At 49.0% G+C, this 13,588-nt stretch overlaps 4 annotated features.

Moving 5' to 3' along the window:
• Positions 692-741: an enhancer, noted in NCBI's record as "active region_23841". NCBI's record gives its function as "activates an Ori minimal core promoter by ATAC-STARR-seq in GM12878 lymphoblastoid cells {active_cell/tissue: GM12878}" and the evidence as "EXISTENCE:reporter gene assay evidence [ECO:0000049][PMID:35858748]".
• Positions 10,575-11,521: an enhancer, noted in NCBI's record as "H3K4me1 hESC enhancer chr6:378942-379888 (GRCh37/hg19 assembly coordinates)". NCBI's record gives its function as "activates a minimal SCP1, AML or CMV promoter by ChIP-STARR-seq in naive H9 embryonic stem cells {active_cell/tissue: H9 hESC(naive)}" and the evidence as "EXISTENCE:reporter gene assay evidence [ECO:0000049][PMID:30033119]".
• Positions 11,217-11,446: an enhancer, noted in NCBI's record as "active region_23840". NCBI's record gives its function as "activates an Ori minimal core promoter by ATAC-STARR-seq in GM12878 lymphoblastoid cells {active_cell/tissue: GM12878}" and the evidence as "EXISTENCE:reporter gene assay evidence [ECO:0000049][PMID:35858748]".
• Positions 11,547-11,616: an enhancer, noted in NCBI's record as "active region_23839". NCBI's record gives its function as "activates an Ori minimal core promoter by ATAC-STARR-seq in GM12878 lymphoblastoid cells {active_cell/tissue: GM12878}" and the evidence as "EXISTENCE:reporter gene assay evidence [ECO:0000049][PMID:35858748]".

The raw sequence follows: 13,588 nt of genomic DNA, 5'->3' as shown, positions 1-13,588 counted from the left end.
TAAACCATCAGATCTCTGGTTTCTATATGATTTTAGACCACCACCACCGTAGGTCAACCTGCAACTTTTGAAAAGCTTTTGATTTCACTTATTTCTCAGTTTTTGTTTTAATCTTATATATTGGGTCAATGTCTCCTAACCAAAGAAGAATCTATGTTTAGGCTAGAGCAAAACAGGTAGTGAGGTATGGATAGGTATGCTTTTCCTAAAACCAACAGACGTTCTCAGAAATTAACAGGATGCCATTTTTTATTTCACCCAAGTAAGTTTTCCATTACCAAAGTCTATGTAATAAACAACAGGGTTTTGTTCACAAAAAGTTCTGGTCACAACCTGTTTTTCTTCCTTTCCTTTCACAGATTTATTCACTTGACAAATGTATTTTGAGCACCTGCTACTTGTCAGGAACCGTCCTAGGCACTTGGAACACATCAGTGAACAAAGCAAAGATCGTTGCCTTCTTGTTGCATTATATTTTAATCAGTGTTACCTTTCCCTCAAACGTTCACAAACATACCAGAGAGGAGTTTGCTGAGGACAAAAAATGGCAAATGAGAGCTTTTTGCACTTTCGTATACGTGTCCTCTGCACCGGGTTTAGTCATTTTCAACATACCCTCCCCTCACTCATCCACATCCTCTGCTTTTAGTTCAGAACAACAGTCGTTGTGTGAAACTCTGAGCCTTCACACCACTACCTTGTTTTTAAATGTAATTGCTAATCTTCAACGCCATCTTCTGGTTTACTCATTTGCCATATTGATCCACTAGAAGTTATTTTTCTTAATGATGATGTGAATACAAGTAATAAAACATTTTAATCACTAAAACTCCGGATGGCCTCATTACCCGTCAGGGAGGCAGTGAACAGGTAGCAGCTGGCAGTGGTGACCAAGGACTTTTATATCTTAGTCACGATTGAAACAAAAAACGGCAAAGGTTCTCAAATTGAAAAGCTTCCCCACCAAACTCCCACCCCCTCCACACACTGAGACTTGAGAAAATCGGTATTCCTTAGTAAAAGGCTGGATATTTATCAGTAAATGACACAACTTGTTGACAAGCAGAAACTAATAGGAAACCAGTTCATTGAATGTGTACCCAAAACAAAGGCTGACCGTGATATTCCACGAGGAAGTTACTTATTTAGTGAATTATCCGTATGTTGAGGTTGTAGTCGGCACACCATCTGAATGGAGCATTTCCATTTTCAATTTCACATTTATCGTAAAGAGTCTGCAAGAAAAGCTGAATTTACCTCAATTCAGTATTTTAAAAGCCAATCTTTAAAATTATACATTCACATGCAAGTAAAATATTTCAGAAAAACCCATCCTACACACACAAACACACACACTAGATTCTTAAAATCTTGGATAACACTATTTTCCCACTAATTCACTCTTTAAAGGGGGGGGCTACAATTGGCTAAAAACAATGCAACTGTATCCATAAAGAAATATAAAGGGCAATCATTTTTAATTACCAGAAAAAATCAGGAAAATACTGAAAGTGCTATTTTCATGTAATTTATATAGAATATATGTCTCTTCTAATCCTCTTTGGTTATATGTGTTTGCAAATCTAATTACTGGCCATGACACATTGCATGGCCAAAAGGTAGTATCATTGGGGATTAAATAAGTGCTTGAGTTTTTAAGGCTGTGAGGCCTTGGGAGAGCCATTTAACCAAAGTCCTACTTCTGGGTGTACAAGGAGGGTGGGGGTGTCCCTGCCTCCCAGCAGTGTTTGTTGTGATGATGAAATGATGCTTTGCGCAATGCCTGGCACATCATCATGTTCAACAAATCAGGGCTATTATCATTTACTACGCACTTCAATACTTAGGGGTATCTCACGGACTTTCACTCATTTGGCCCCCAAACCAAACCTGGCAGGCAAGGAAGGCGGGATTCAGCCCAAGTGTAGGGAGAACGAAAGAGATTGTGAGAGGTCCAGATGGCTGGCCCAAGGACACAGCTCTGAGGAACTATTTTTTCTCCTTGTACACAGGGATTGGCTGCATTTGGCATGACTATTTCAGAATCAGCCTCTGAGTGCAGGCTGTCATAGGAGGGGGAGTTTCATCTCTGGTCAGGTCAGTGTGGGTAAGAAAGTCTTCCCTGGCCTCATCCTCCGCCCCTGTGAAGTGGAGGCCGGCGGCAAGTGACCACTGAATCCTCGTTTAACCCTAAGTAGGTGTTTTTTTCTTTCTGTTGCAACTTAGGATCATTAATGGCTGCCTCGTGGCCTTTTTGGTTATGGTAAATTCAGAGTAAGGAAAGCTGCATTTTATTTTTAAGCCATGGATCTAACCATTGACCTTCACTTTATTCTTCTTCACAAGGCTAAATTCTCTTTGAGGAAATGAGAGAAACCTGGTGCTGCCTCTTAGCCACTCTTCTCGAATGTTTAATCCTCTGGAAAAAAAAAATCTAACCTTCTAAGCTACTTATACCAGAGAGGAGTTGGGATGGAACACTCTGGAAATGAGATTATATTATAAATGCTCTCACTGCACACTCAGTTTAAAATAATTGAATGTTATTTGAAAAGTGATAAATTCTTTGGTAATAGAATACAGAGCATAAACCTGGATTTTTTCAAGTAGAGCTGTACACATTTTCCTAATTTAATTAGCAGAATGCCCTGAGTGCCTTCAATGAGAAAATTTGCAGAGCTTCGACAGTAAGCATTCCCAGGGCACAGGGCGTTCAGGACCAGCTTGTGATCTCTTTGAGGGCAGAGTTAGTAAGCGGGGCTTTTTCCTACATGCAGAGAAGAACCCGCTTTCAGGCTTGTAGGAAATGAGACTTGTGATTGTAATCGATGACGTAATGAGAAGCCAAGGATACGAGGTGATGTCTCCTTTCCCTGTTTATAAACAGCTCTTCCCTTTTCGCCTGCTCTTCTTGCCAGCATTCTAAGAAGAGTCCTGGCAACACTTCCCACCTCTCTGACGTGTCATGCTCTCTACAGAAACAGTGACGTGGCTTTACACAGGGCCAGTTGACACTGCCAACTCCTTAACCAAGCCAATGAAAACGCAAATGGTTTGCAATACCTTTGGGCAATTTTCTGAAAACTGAAGCAAGAGGTGAAAGGCAAACGGCTTTGTCTAATTCCACCCATTTGTAACAGCGCCTAATGTTGGGTTATTCTAAAGTTCATCAACGGCTCTTTCAGCGAAATTTTGTGAAACAGCATACCGTCACTTGTCACACATAAGACTCTAGGCATGCTGGATAGAGGAGTGTATCTTTCTAGAAAGGTTAGGTTATGCTGTGGTAACGAGACCCCCTGAGATTCTGGGGGGGGGGTTACTTCTTGTTCAAATGAGATATCCATGGCAAAGCCACGGGGATCCGGAACATTCCTGGCCACCTGATGGAGAGAAGGGTACGGGAGAAGCATGTGCTGGCTCTGTTAGTTCCTGCCCGGCAGCGAGTTACATGGCTTTGGCTCATATTCCCCCGTAATAAGGTAAGAACTACAGTAAAGGAGGAATTATCTGGCCATAGTGTGGGTACCGCCCGAGAGAGAACAATGGCCAGGAGGCCGGGGAGGCCTCGGGGTGAGGTAGAGAGCTCTCAGACGGGCAGGTGCATGGGTGGCAGAGGAGGGAAGGACAAGCAGTTATGGGGCTGAGTAGACGTGCTCGGCAGGGGGTGGGGCGGTCGGGGAGTCAGGGGTTGCTGGAGGGTTTCCAGGATGGGGAATGACACAGGAGTCCCCTGTATCCACCGTTTCCCTTTCCACAGTTTCAGTTACCTGAGGGCAACCTCAGTCTGAAAATAAGAAATGGAAAATTCCAGAAATCAACACTTTGTGTTTGAAGTTGCATGCCATTCTTTGCAGGGTGGTGACATCGCGCAGGGTCCCGCTTCATCCCTTCTGGGATGTGAACCACTGCTTTGTCCAGCAGACCCCACTGTATATGCTGCTGGCCCATCAGCCATGTGGCAGCCATCAGGCCATTAGAGGGCAAGTGCCATGCAGTGAGATGTTGGAGAGAGCAACAACATCCACAGCTTTCATTACAGCGTATGGTCATCATTGCTTGGTGTTATTATTAGTGTTGTTAATCTCTCACTGTGCCTAATTTATAAGTTACACTTTATCCTAGCTATGTACGTACAGAAAAAAACATAGTCTATAAGGGGCTCAGTACTGTCTTCTATTTCAGGCATCTGCTAGGGGTTTTGGAACATATCTATCCCCTGAGAATAAGGGGGGACTACTATTACCAAGAACCCTGATAAAGAAGTGAGGAGGAGGAACACGATTACCGGGGAGACAGGCGAAGTTAGAGATGCTGTCTCACCATCCATGCTGAGTTATTTATCCAGCAGGCATTGGGAAACACAGAGTTTCTTTCAATCACCTTTGAACCGTGACATCTAGAAGTAGTGAGTGGCTCATAGTAATATGCTATAAACATGACTGTGTCTTGCCTCTTGGGTCATGCTTTTGTTGACAGTGATCCTAGTCCTCCTTCAGCCTTTAACAGGGACGGTGGCAGACTCTGAGATGGAGGTCAGCATGTATGATTAGGGAGCATGCTTGGTTGGAGTCAAGGGGAAGGGAGCAGAACTGGGCCGAGAGGTGCCCGTGATGCAACGCCAAGCCAAATGGACTCCAGTCAATGCTGCAGAAAGCTCTGGAGCTAGGACGAGCCTGTTCCAGCGTGGAGTGAAGGGATAGGGCCCCCGCAGCCCTGACTGAGCTAGCATTGGGTGCCAGCTGCCTCTAGAGGAGACGTGACCTGGGAAGTTCGTTTTCTCCAGCTGGAGCCATCGCCACAGAAGGCTGCCTGCTGAGAACCACCTCCCAGGAGCAGTCTCAGTACCCGAGGGAATGAACCTCTCACTCCCAAGTGGGAATCCAAGCAGTGCACAGCAACATCCACCCAAGTCTACACCTCGTTCTGCTGTGATCCATTTCCTCTCATAGCTCCTGAGGGCAGCTCCTCCTGGTTCCAGTGGGCCTCCATCCCTGGAGGAGGGTTGCCAGTTTTAGCAAATAAAAATGCAAAACTCCCAGTTAAATTGGCATTTCTGATAAACATTGAATAACTTGTTTTAGTATAGGTGTATTCCATGCAATATTTGGGACGTACTTACACTAAAGAAACTACTTGTTGTTTATCTGAAATTCAAATAGCAACTTTATCCTGGAGAAAACTTAGAAGAGGAAAGTTAGTGGAACAGATTCCAGCCTCAGCCCCTGCAGCTGGAACGCCAGTGAAGACTCGTGAGCGCCTCCTGCTCTGTCCTTTCTAGATGCTCCCACCTTTCAACTACAGCTCAGTGGCCATACCCAAGCCTTCATCCTTGAGGGCTTTGAACTGGTCACGGTGCCCTTCCTGGTCCAGGGGTGCTGCACCTCCACATACCATTTTCCATCAGTACACACAGGGAGAGCCAAGAGGTGCCCGGATGGGTTGCCGGGGTCCTGCCCCATTGTATAGCAGCAGCTCCACACCTCCTGATGACCAAGGTCAACATGCCTTCTTGCTGCTAAGCTCCACCCAAGGAGCCTCCCAGAGGCCTCCCACAGCTTAGAGTCTAGTGGCACCCTTTCTGTGTCTCCTGGAAACTTGCAGAAACAAGAAGCACAAATTCCCCAAGGGGTCTCTGAGAGTTTTGGTAAGTGGGCCGTTCCTCACCCCCACCTTGGCTCGTACTGAGGACAAGCACTATGTGAAGGTTTCTGACGCAGTGTGCGAGCGAGCTGCATCCTCCCAGCCCTTCTCCCACAGCACGCCCTGGCTGCAGCACTTCTGCCTGGCTTCCTGTGGTTAATGCTGTCTCACGTTCCTGGGAGCCATCCTAGCTGTGTGTTTCAGCATCTCTTGGGGCCTTGCTGGGTGCTCAGTGCTGTGTCCCAGGAGCATGGCCACAGACTGAACCACTCTCTCTTATATGAATCTATGCTCCCCATACCTCCTTGGCCCAGCACTCTCAGACCCCAGGACCGTGACTGCTCTCCTGGATCCTGCTGGCATCTCTTTCTTTCAGACACAGCCCCATTCCTCCTTAGCATGCCCACCTGGTCCCCAGCTAGGCAGATTCCCCAGCCAGGTGGATCCTGGGTGGGCAGGGGGCATGTTTTCTTGCAGGAGAGAAGCCTCTGTATTGTTTCCAAATCAGGGTAGCACAGCCCTTAGGAGGAGGGGGATCCCAGAGTTCCCACAGTGCTCCCAGCAGCCCAGGGCATACATCCTTCTTTCCTAAGTGCTACCCGGGCAGAGCCTCCCAGCATGTGCTGCAGGGATCTTGTGCAAGGCACATCTCCTGGGGCACAGTGTCTTCTCTGTGCAATTCAACCATCCATTTCTTTTAACCATGATGCATTAAGCCAGTGCCTCCCAGGCTTGGTGGATGGGGTCGGGAGTGGGGGAGTGGACAGCCTCAATATGAGGTCATTGCACCTCTCAGGGAAAGAAGGGTTGGCAAGGAAAGACCCCACACATAGCTCAGCAAACCAAGCATGATGCAGTAAGGCTAGTGGGAGTGTGTGAGGAAGACGTAACATGCAGTGACATTTGAGCAGAACTTTGATGGAAGAGCTGGGCTTCTCTAGGCAGGGCAGGATGTGGGGGGATTCCTGGCAGGAGGACCCTGGGCGATGACAAATGGGCCAGGAACCTGAGGCCTGGTTCCCAGGCCACTCTGGGTTCTGGGTGTGGAGTCGTCCTCTGGCTGCTTGGGAGGACTCGGGAGAGCATTTTGGAGCGGGAGCTGCTGAGTGTGCCTTTGCTCCTTGCTTTCCAGAGGTCAGAGCAGTGGCGGGAGAATGAGGGTTCAGGTGCTTCCCAAATGAGAACAGATTTTAGCCAGAGGGTCATTAGGTTTATTTCAACATCAACATTAGGTGACTCATCAAAAGTCCTCTTTCAGCTTCCTTCCATATACGTTTAGCTTTAAAAAATCAGAACATTATCTTTTCTAATGCTCTGAGGCTCCCATTCAGGAATGCAGTTGATTTTTCCCGTTTCAGAAGCGTGAGCAGCTACCCAGGCCAAGTGGGAGGGCATTTCCACTGGGACAAGGCCTTAGAGGTCTACCCCGCACGTGTCCTGCAGAGCCACAGCTTCTGTTGGGGTGGGCACCTTCGCAAGTGTGACACAGAATCCCTGCTTTGAACCTTTGAACTTGAGTGAAGGGCTGTGGCCTCCCAGAACTTTCTTGGCTTGCCTGGGGGCTCCCCAAGGTACTGTGGCATTGCAGTACCACAAACCCACGCACTCAAGTCCAGACGTTGCTTAGGATGCAGAGAGCGATGCGAGGCCTGGCCCATCTGATGTGATAGCCTGGCCCACTCCCCTGACAAGCTCTCCTTGCCCTTCTTACTCGCTGCACGGGAGGCGTGGTACCTCCATGCGGCACCTGCCCACCAGGGGCAGCCTGCTGGCTATGAAGCTTCTCTCAGACACCAGAGAGGCCGTGCGATGCATTCAACCATAGTTTCCTCAATGATTTCCCACTATAGCCTGGTGGGGAGGAGAAGCAGGCTATAAGATTCGGCTTCGGAGATGAGCCCATTGATATGGGAGAGGTCATTTGGAGTTGCTGGATGTCAATAGAAGCGGGAGCACGGGCAGACCCAGCTCTGGCTCAGGTGGGCTGGGGAAGCTAAGCTACACAGACGTAACCGGGCTTGTATTTGCACAGTGCAGCCTCAGCTGCCTCCTGGATTTGCCCCCTCCAGTCTTCTCCCCCCTTACTCCTGACACTTCACGCTGGCCCAGGCCTCTGCCCCACTCGCCTCTTAGCCCACCTCCCTCCCTATGGAGAACACGGAGGCATGAGATGCACCTGTTGGCTGCCCCATCCACCCCTCTCCTGCTGCCTTAGAGGAGGTTCCTGCCTCCCTGAAGCCTATCAGGGTGGTCCAATGAGCGAAACAGGGAATAACTGGGGGCGCCACACTATGCTTATCCTGTGGCCCTTAAGCAGCCGTTGCAGAGAGGCCCTGGTGCTCATTCCTGCACTAGGTGTGGCTCAGTCATTTCATCTCAAACCTTCAGAGTTCTGGGAAGGGTTGAAGCAGAGGAGTGAGACAAGGGAGGCACCCACGGCCCTGCGGGAGTGGACACGCATCCTGCCAGGGGCATTCAACTCACAGGGACAGTTTGGGCATTGCACAGCGCGTGCCGGCATTCTGGAAAGGTGTATGCTATTGTCAGTGTTTTGCGTAAGGCATATTGGACAGCACCCAATAATGGCAGCAGAAGGTTTCAAGAGGACGATTCTACCAGAACCATCACGAGACTTCCGCGGCGATGTGAGCCTCCTTCCTGCCGAGCTTGTGGGCACTCTGGCTGTCCTCTTGCTATCCCTTCTTGGTGCCTTTGTGCTGTGGGGCCCTCCACTGAGGCGGGCTGAATCCTGGCTGTCTTTGTACACCCCGAAGCCTGCCGGAGGTCCTCAGTGGTCACTGAACTAAACAGCGTCCCTCATCCAGTTCAAACTGAAATTTCAGTTATGAAACTCCCTTCAGAAATTCCCTTTCTATTCTGAATGTTGTGCTTTTTCTTTCAGTTCTTTGCAAAATCACCAAAGCCAGGAGGCAGTGCATTGAGAACAAATCCATGGGCTAGGCTGTTTTCTCTGCTCACTGAATTCAGTCTCTGTTTTAATTTGGTATTATCTGCTAAGTGTAAATGGAGCTAACTTATATCAAAGATAAGATCTCAGGAGTTATGCTGTGAATATTTTAATTACACTTCTTTGGCAGATGTATTTTGCTTTACTTGAACACTCATGGGTGGCTGCAGTCTCTGATGAGATGGTCACAGTTTCACAAATTAATTCTTCCTGGTTCCATCTGGGTATGTTCATCAAGGGTGAGCTGCACAGAACTTTTGGGAAGCTTAAAATGTTAAATGTTGCTAATTTGTGATTTATGTGAACTTTTTATTTTGTAAGTTATATACCTTCCTTTTGGGGGTGAAGTTTGTACTCTTTCCTGACTTCTTTTTATACTGTCTGTAATAAAAAGCCCCTAATACATTCTTCTCCTCTACCAGTCTGGTTTATGCATTATAAACCACCCTCCTTTTCTATTTCATGGAAACTTCTGAATTCCATTTGAAAATCAAGTTCAAGTTCCAGTTGCAAAGTTAAGTTCCAGGATGTGTTCATTTTGATATCCCGGTTAAAACGGAGCCATCTGGCATCAGAAGGACACTTGAGAGTTACAGAGGATGCATCCTTGTGGCAGTCGGAGCGAGATTTCTGTTGGCTTTTTCATTTTGTGTAGTGGAGGAAGATGTCCCAACATGCACTGTGCAACCCCAGGAGGGACTCTACTTTTCCAGGGACCACGAAACCTATGGTGTGACCAGGCCTCTCAGAGAAATGTAAGCGGGAGCCATGCTGCGGGGTGCGGGGCCACTGCCCGTCCTGCTGACGCGACGCGCCCTCTTTCCCTCCACCCCTCCTGACTGGTATCTCATGCTGCACTCCCCATGTGCCAGGGAACACTCCTCTGCCTTTTTCTGAGTCCCTGCTCCGGAGTGGTGCCCTGGCCTGTGAAATGAGGAGACCTCCTACTGCACATGCTCCCTCCCTTCTGGCGAGGGGGCTCACAAAAGCAGGACTTGACATTGGTGGAGTTCCTCTTGCAATGGTTTCAAGCTAGAATCGCATCCTGAGTCTGAACAAAGCATGGGTTTCTTCTCAGGTTCTGTGATTTCTTTCAACCCAGTAGCTTTTGTGAGGCACAGAACCAAGGTACTGAGGAAGACACAAGGATGGCTAGGACACGGAGCCACTGTGAGGGGACATGCACAGTCCCTTGCCTGGCACTGGGGGCACGCCAGCTCACTCGGGGACAGTGTCATCCTCCAGGGCAGTAGAAGGTGGAATGAAAGACAATGATGACAAAATGGTAAGGGGGAGGAGGCAGCTGGCATCGTGAAGAAGGTGGCGTTTCACCTGAACTTTGAAGTCATGAGATTTCAATCCACAGAAGCAGGAATTCTAGGCGGAGAGCCCAGCCTGGCAGTAACTCCTCCCGTGTGACAGTGGAACAGCAGGTAGTCTGGGCTGGGGGCGGGACCCAGGGCGTAGAGGCCAGAAAGGAGGTTTGAAGCCCATCCAGGAAGACCGTGGGGAGGGAGCCCCAACGCCAGCGAAGGAGTCCATACTCCACGGGCAGGTCACTGGCCCTTCAACGTCACTGGATGTCAGAATCACTTGCAAGCCCCAACCAGCTGTCTGGCTTCAGCCAATGGACCCAGGAATCTGCATTTCCATCAGACAGCTGTGAGATTTTCATTTATGGGGTCTGAGAACCGCAGTCTTTGAACCACACAGCTGGAGAAAAGGGAGGCTGAAGGAGGCACATCAGACATTTTGTGCCAGGGGTTCCAGGCTGGACTGGAGGCGCAAGAGAGCCCCAGTGGAAGGACTGGATGCTGCTGGGCCAGGGTGGCCCTGGGGATCCGGGAGGGTGCTGCCCAGGAGGGCTGTCTTTGAACACCCCGGGAGGCAGGACCCCAGAGATGCTGAGTACCAGGGGCCGTGGCGCCATCATCGGGGACAGGAAACCGTGACCGAGGAGTGGCATTTGGGATGGAAGGTAGCAAGTCTGGCTGAGAACTGGCTTTGCAGCACCAGAGGGATGTTCTGGAGGACTGTCCCGTAAAAACCAGCTGGAAGTTCACTCCCAAAGCGGGCTAGGTAGGTGGACCCGGCCTGGGTGTGCGAATATGGCACTCATGGGCAGACACACAGGGAAAAGAGGGCTCGTGACCTGTGCAGAATGCCGGGGACATTGAGGTTAACAGCAGGCTTCTCTATTTCCGGCCCCAGGCGTCTCAGGTTAGGGCCAAGGGGAGGTCAGGAGGAACCAGGTTTCCTCTGACCGTAGCGCTGATCACTTCCCTGCAGGCAGGTTTTCTTCAGCACAGCTTTGGCGTGGCCCTGGGGGGGAACAGCGAGGTAACTTCCTGTCCAGGCTGCCGGGCTCTGGAAGTGCCGCAGGTGTCCACGCCTGTTGGGCAGACGCACGTGGGGAGCGGCCCTGGGAGGAGCACGGTGACCAGGGCAGGGGGTGTGCGGGTGGAGGGGCGGGATTGCCGGGCCCTTCCTATGAGCACAGCCACTGCAGGGAGGATTCTTCTCCAAAACTGGTTTTGAAACATTAAGCCACATGCTAGGAGGAGGGAGCCTCGAGGGGGTGGCTCAGCCTGGCACCTGTTTACACACTGAGGCCCTCAAGGAGGTCAGAGGACTCCACATAGGAGTCACATCAGACTGGCAGTGACAAGCTGCAGAGGGGTCAACCTCGTGTCTGGTCTGCGGCTGACTTGGTGGGATTCTCTGCACCAGCCTCTAATTTTTCACAGAACCCAGTGGGGAGGTGAAGCAGGCACTGTGATTCCATTTAGAGAGGAACACATGGAGGGGGACGGGTTGGTAGAATTGCTCGAAGCCAACAGGAGCTGCTGGGGAGTGAGGACGGCCTCTGACACACGTCTCACTAAGGAACGAGCCCAGTGCGATCAATATTGAAAACATTTTCAGCCTCAGTAATAATCCCTGTTGGATGACTGCCTGCTCCCTGGCTGCATCTCAGGGAGGTCCCCGGTGTCCCAGGCACTCCCACACCTCAGGTGCCTTCGCTTCTCCCACAGTGCCTCTCTTCCTGTGCTGGCCAACCTCTGCCTCTCTTCTGCGGTGTTTGTCTCTGTGAGTGCCACGTGGGCTGGGGCCTCGTCTCTCTTGCTCTCTGAGACTGCCGGTGCTACAACTGTGTTCCCACGTGTTAGATTTCCACATAAAATCTTTTCGAATAAATGAATAAAGGAGTGAATGATTACTAAAAAGAAAAAGCAAATTCACAGCCATTTAAACGAGAGCACACAAGACAATAACCGTGCAGCTGAAATGCGCGTGCTTCCTTCTGGAGAGCGATGGGACCACTCTTTTGCAAAGATGTCCATCTCAGCATTGGTTACCGTAAAACTTAGAAATATTTTAAGTATCTAGACACGGGGGAGCAGTTAAGTACGCAGTGGTACATCTACACACTTAGGAAAACTATATGAAAATGTTGGTTAATTTGGGGAAAATGCTTATGATATGAGGTTAAGGGAAGAAAGCATACGCAAAATTGCATGCATGATAGGATCTTAACTCTGAGAAAACTCCGCAAGCCTCGGGGAAATCCCCAACATGTTACCAACATAGGTGGTGGGGTCACACGTTCTCGGTATAAATTGTTCTGGTCTCAGTTTTTTCCCCGAATTTTATACTTTTGGGGGGATACACATGTATTATTAGCAAAACCATACAGATATTTTCTTAAGAACAGAAACACACATCAGGATTGACGAATCATGTTGATTTATGTCAAACCCCAGGACAATATCTCCTGACCTTAACTTTTTTTCAATCCCTCCCTCTACGCCAGTCTTCCATCCTCCTCCTTTGCATTGTAAAATGTATTCCTTAAACGCATCTTGATGCTGTTTACTTATTTTCACATTGATGCCTTTTTTGTTGTTGTTTGTTTGTTTTTTTGAGACAGAGTCTCGCCCTGTTGCCCAGGCTGGAGTGCGATGGCACAGTCTCGGCTCACTGCAACCTCAAGCGATTCTCCCGCCTCAGCTACCCAAGTAGCTCGGATTACAGGCACGCACGACCACGCCCAGCTAATTTTTTGTATCTTTAGTAGAGATGAGGTTTCACCATTTTGGCCAGGCTGGTCTCGAACTCCTGACCTCGTGATCTGCCCACCTCGGCCTCCCAAGATGCCTTTTTCTTAATTGCTTGAAATGTGGCTTTGGTTGAAGCTCTCAGCAGGAAAACACAGAACCCCAATGTCAAAAATTTGAAGATGATATTCTGGGCTAGATGTTTTTGGGAAATACAAAGATATACGACAGCATGGTTCCTCCCCTCAATAAATTTTCAGTTGAGTAGCTCTAGTTCGGTCTTTACCTTGGAGGAACTACTTTTACCAAAACCACCAGTGACATTTTCCTGGCAAAAATCCAATGGCCTCATCCCTTTTCTGAGCCTCTGGGCCTCTCGGCCTTCTGCAATGTGACAGTCCCCTCCTTCAAGTCGCCTCCCCAGTGTGGGCTTTGGGGGTGTTCCGCACACACAGTCAGACTGCTTATGACCCGCTGGGTATCTAACTGAACTCCTCTCCTCCTTCTCAGAATCTCTAGGCTCCACCATGACATTAATCAACCCCAATTATCTGACCAAAACCCTGAAAAATCTTTATCATGACACCAGTTGTTCTCCTAACCTTGGGCCCGGTGGCCTAGTTGCCCTCTTCAGCCCAAAAAAGATAAATAACAGAAAACAAACCTCACTGCTGCCTCTCACGTTCAGCCTATTCCCATTTTCTAATGATTCAAGTCTATGTCTTTAGCAGAAACAGGCAAGCCCCCATCCCAGCTCTAATTAAACCACAGCTTCCTCTTCCTGGATGGGGCCTCTCTGACCCACTCACCTGTAGTGGGCTGCGCAAAGTTGTAGCTCAGAATACATGTAGTATCTATGGGCACTTAAAATACGTATTTCCTAACCAAATGGAAATTTTTTTGTAATGTAATTAGCATC

This window comes from Homo sapiens, chromosome 6 (assembly GCF_000001405.40).
Source record: "Homo sapiens chromosome 6, GRCh38.p14 Primary Assembly".
Taxonomy (NCBI): domain Eukaryota; kingdom Metazoa; phylum Chordata; class Mammalia; order Primates; family Hominidae; genus Homo; species Homo sapiens.
The sequence above is the reverse complement of the archived record's forward strand: the minus strand, read 5'-3'. Positions and strand labels throughout refer to the sequence as shown.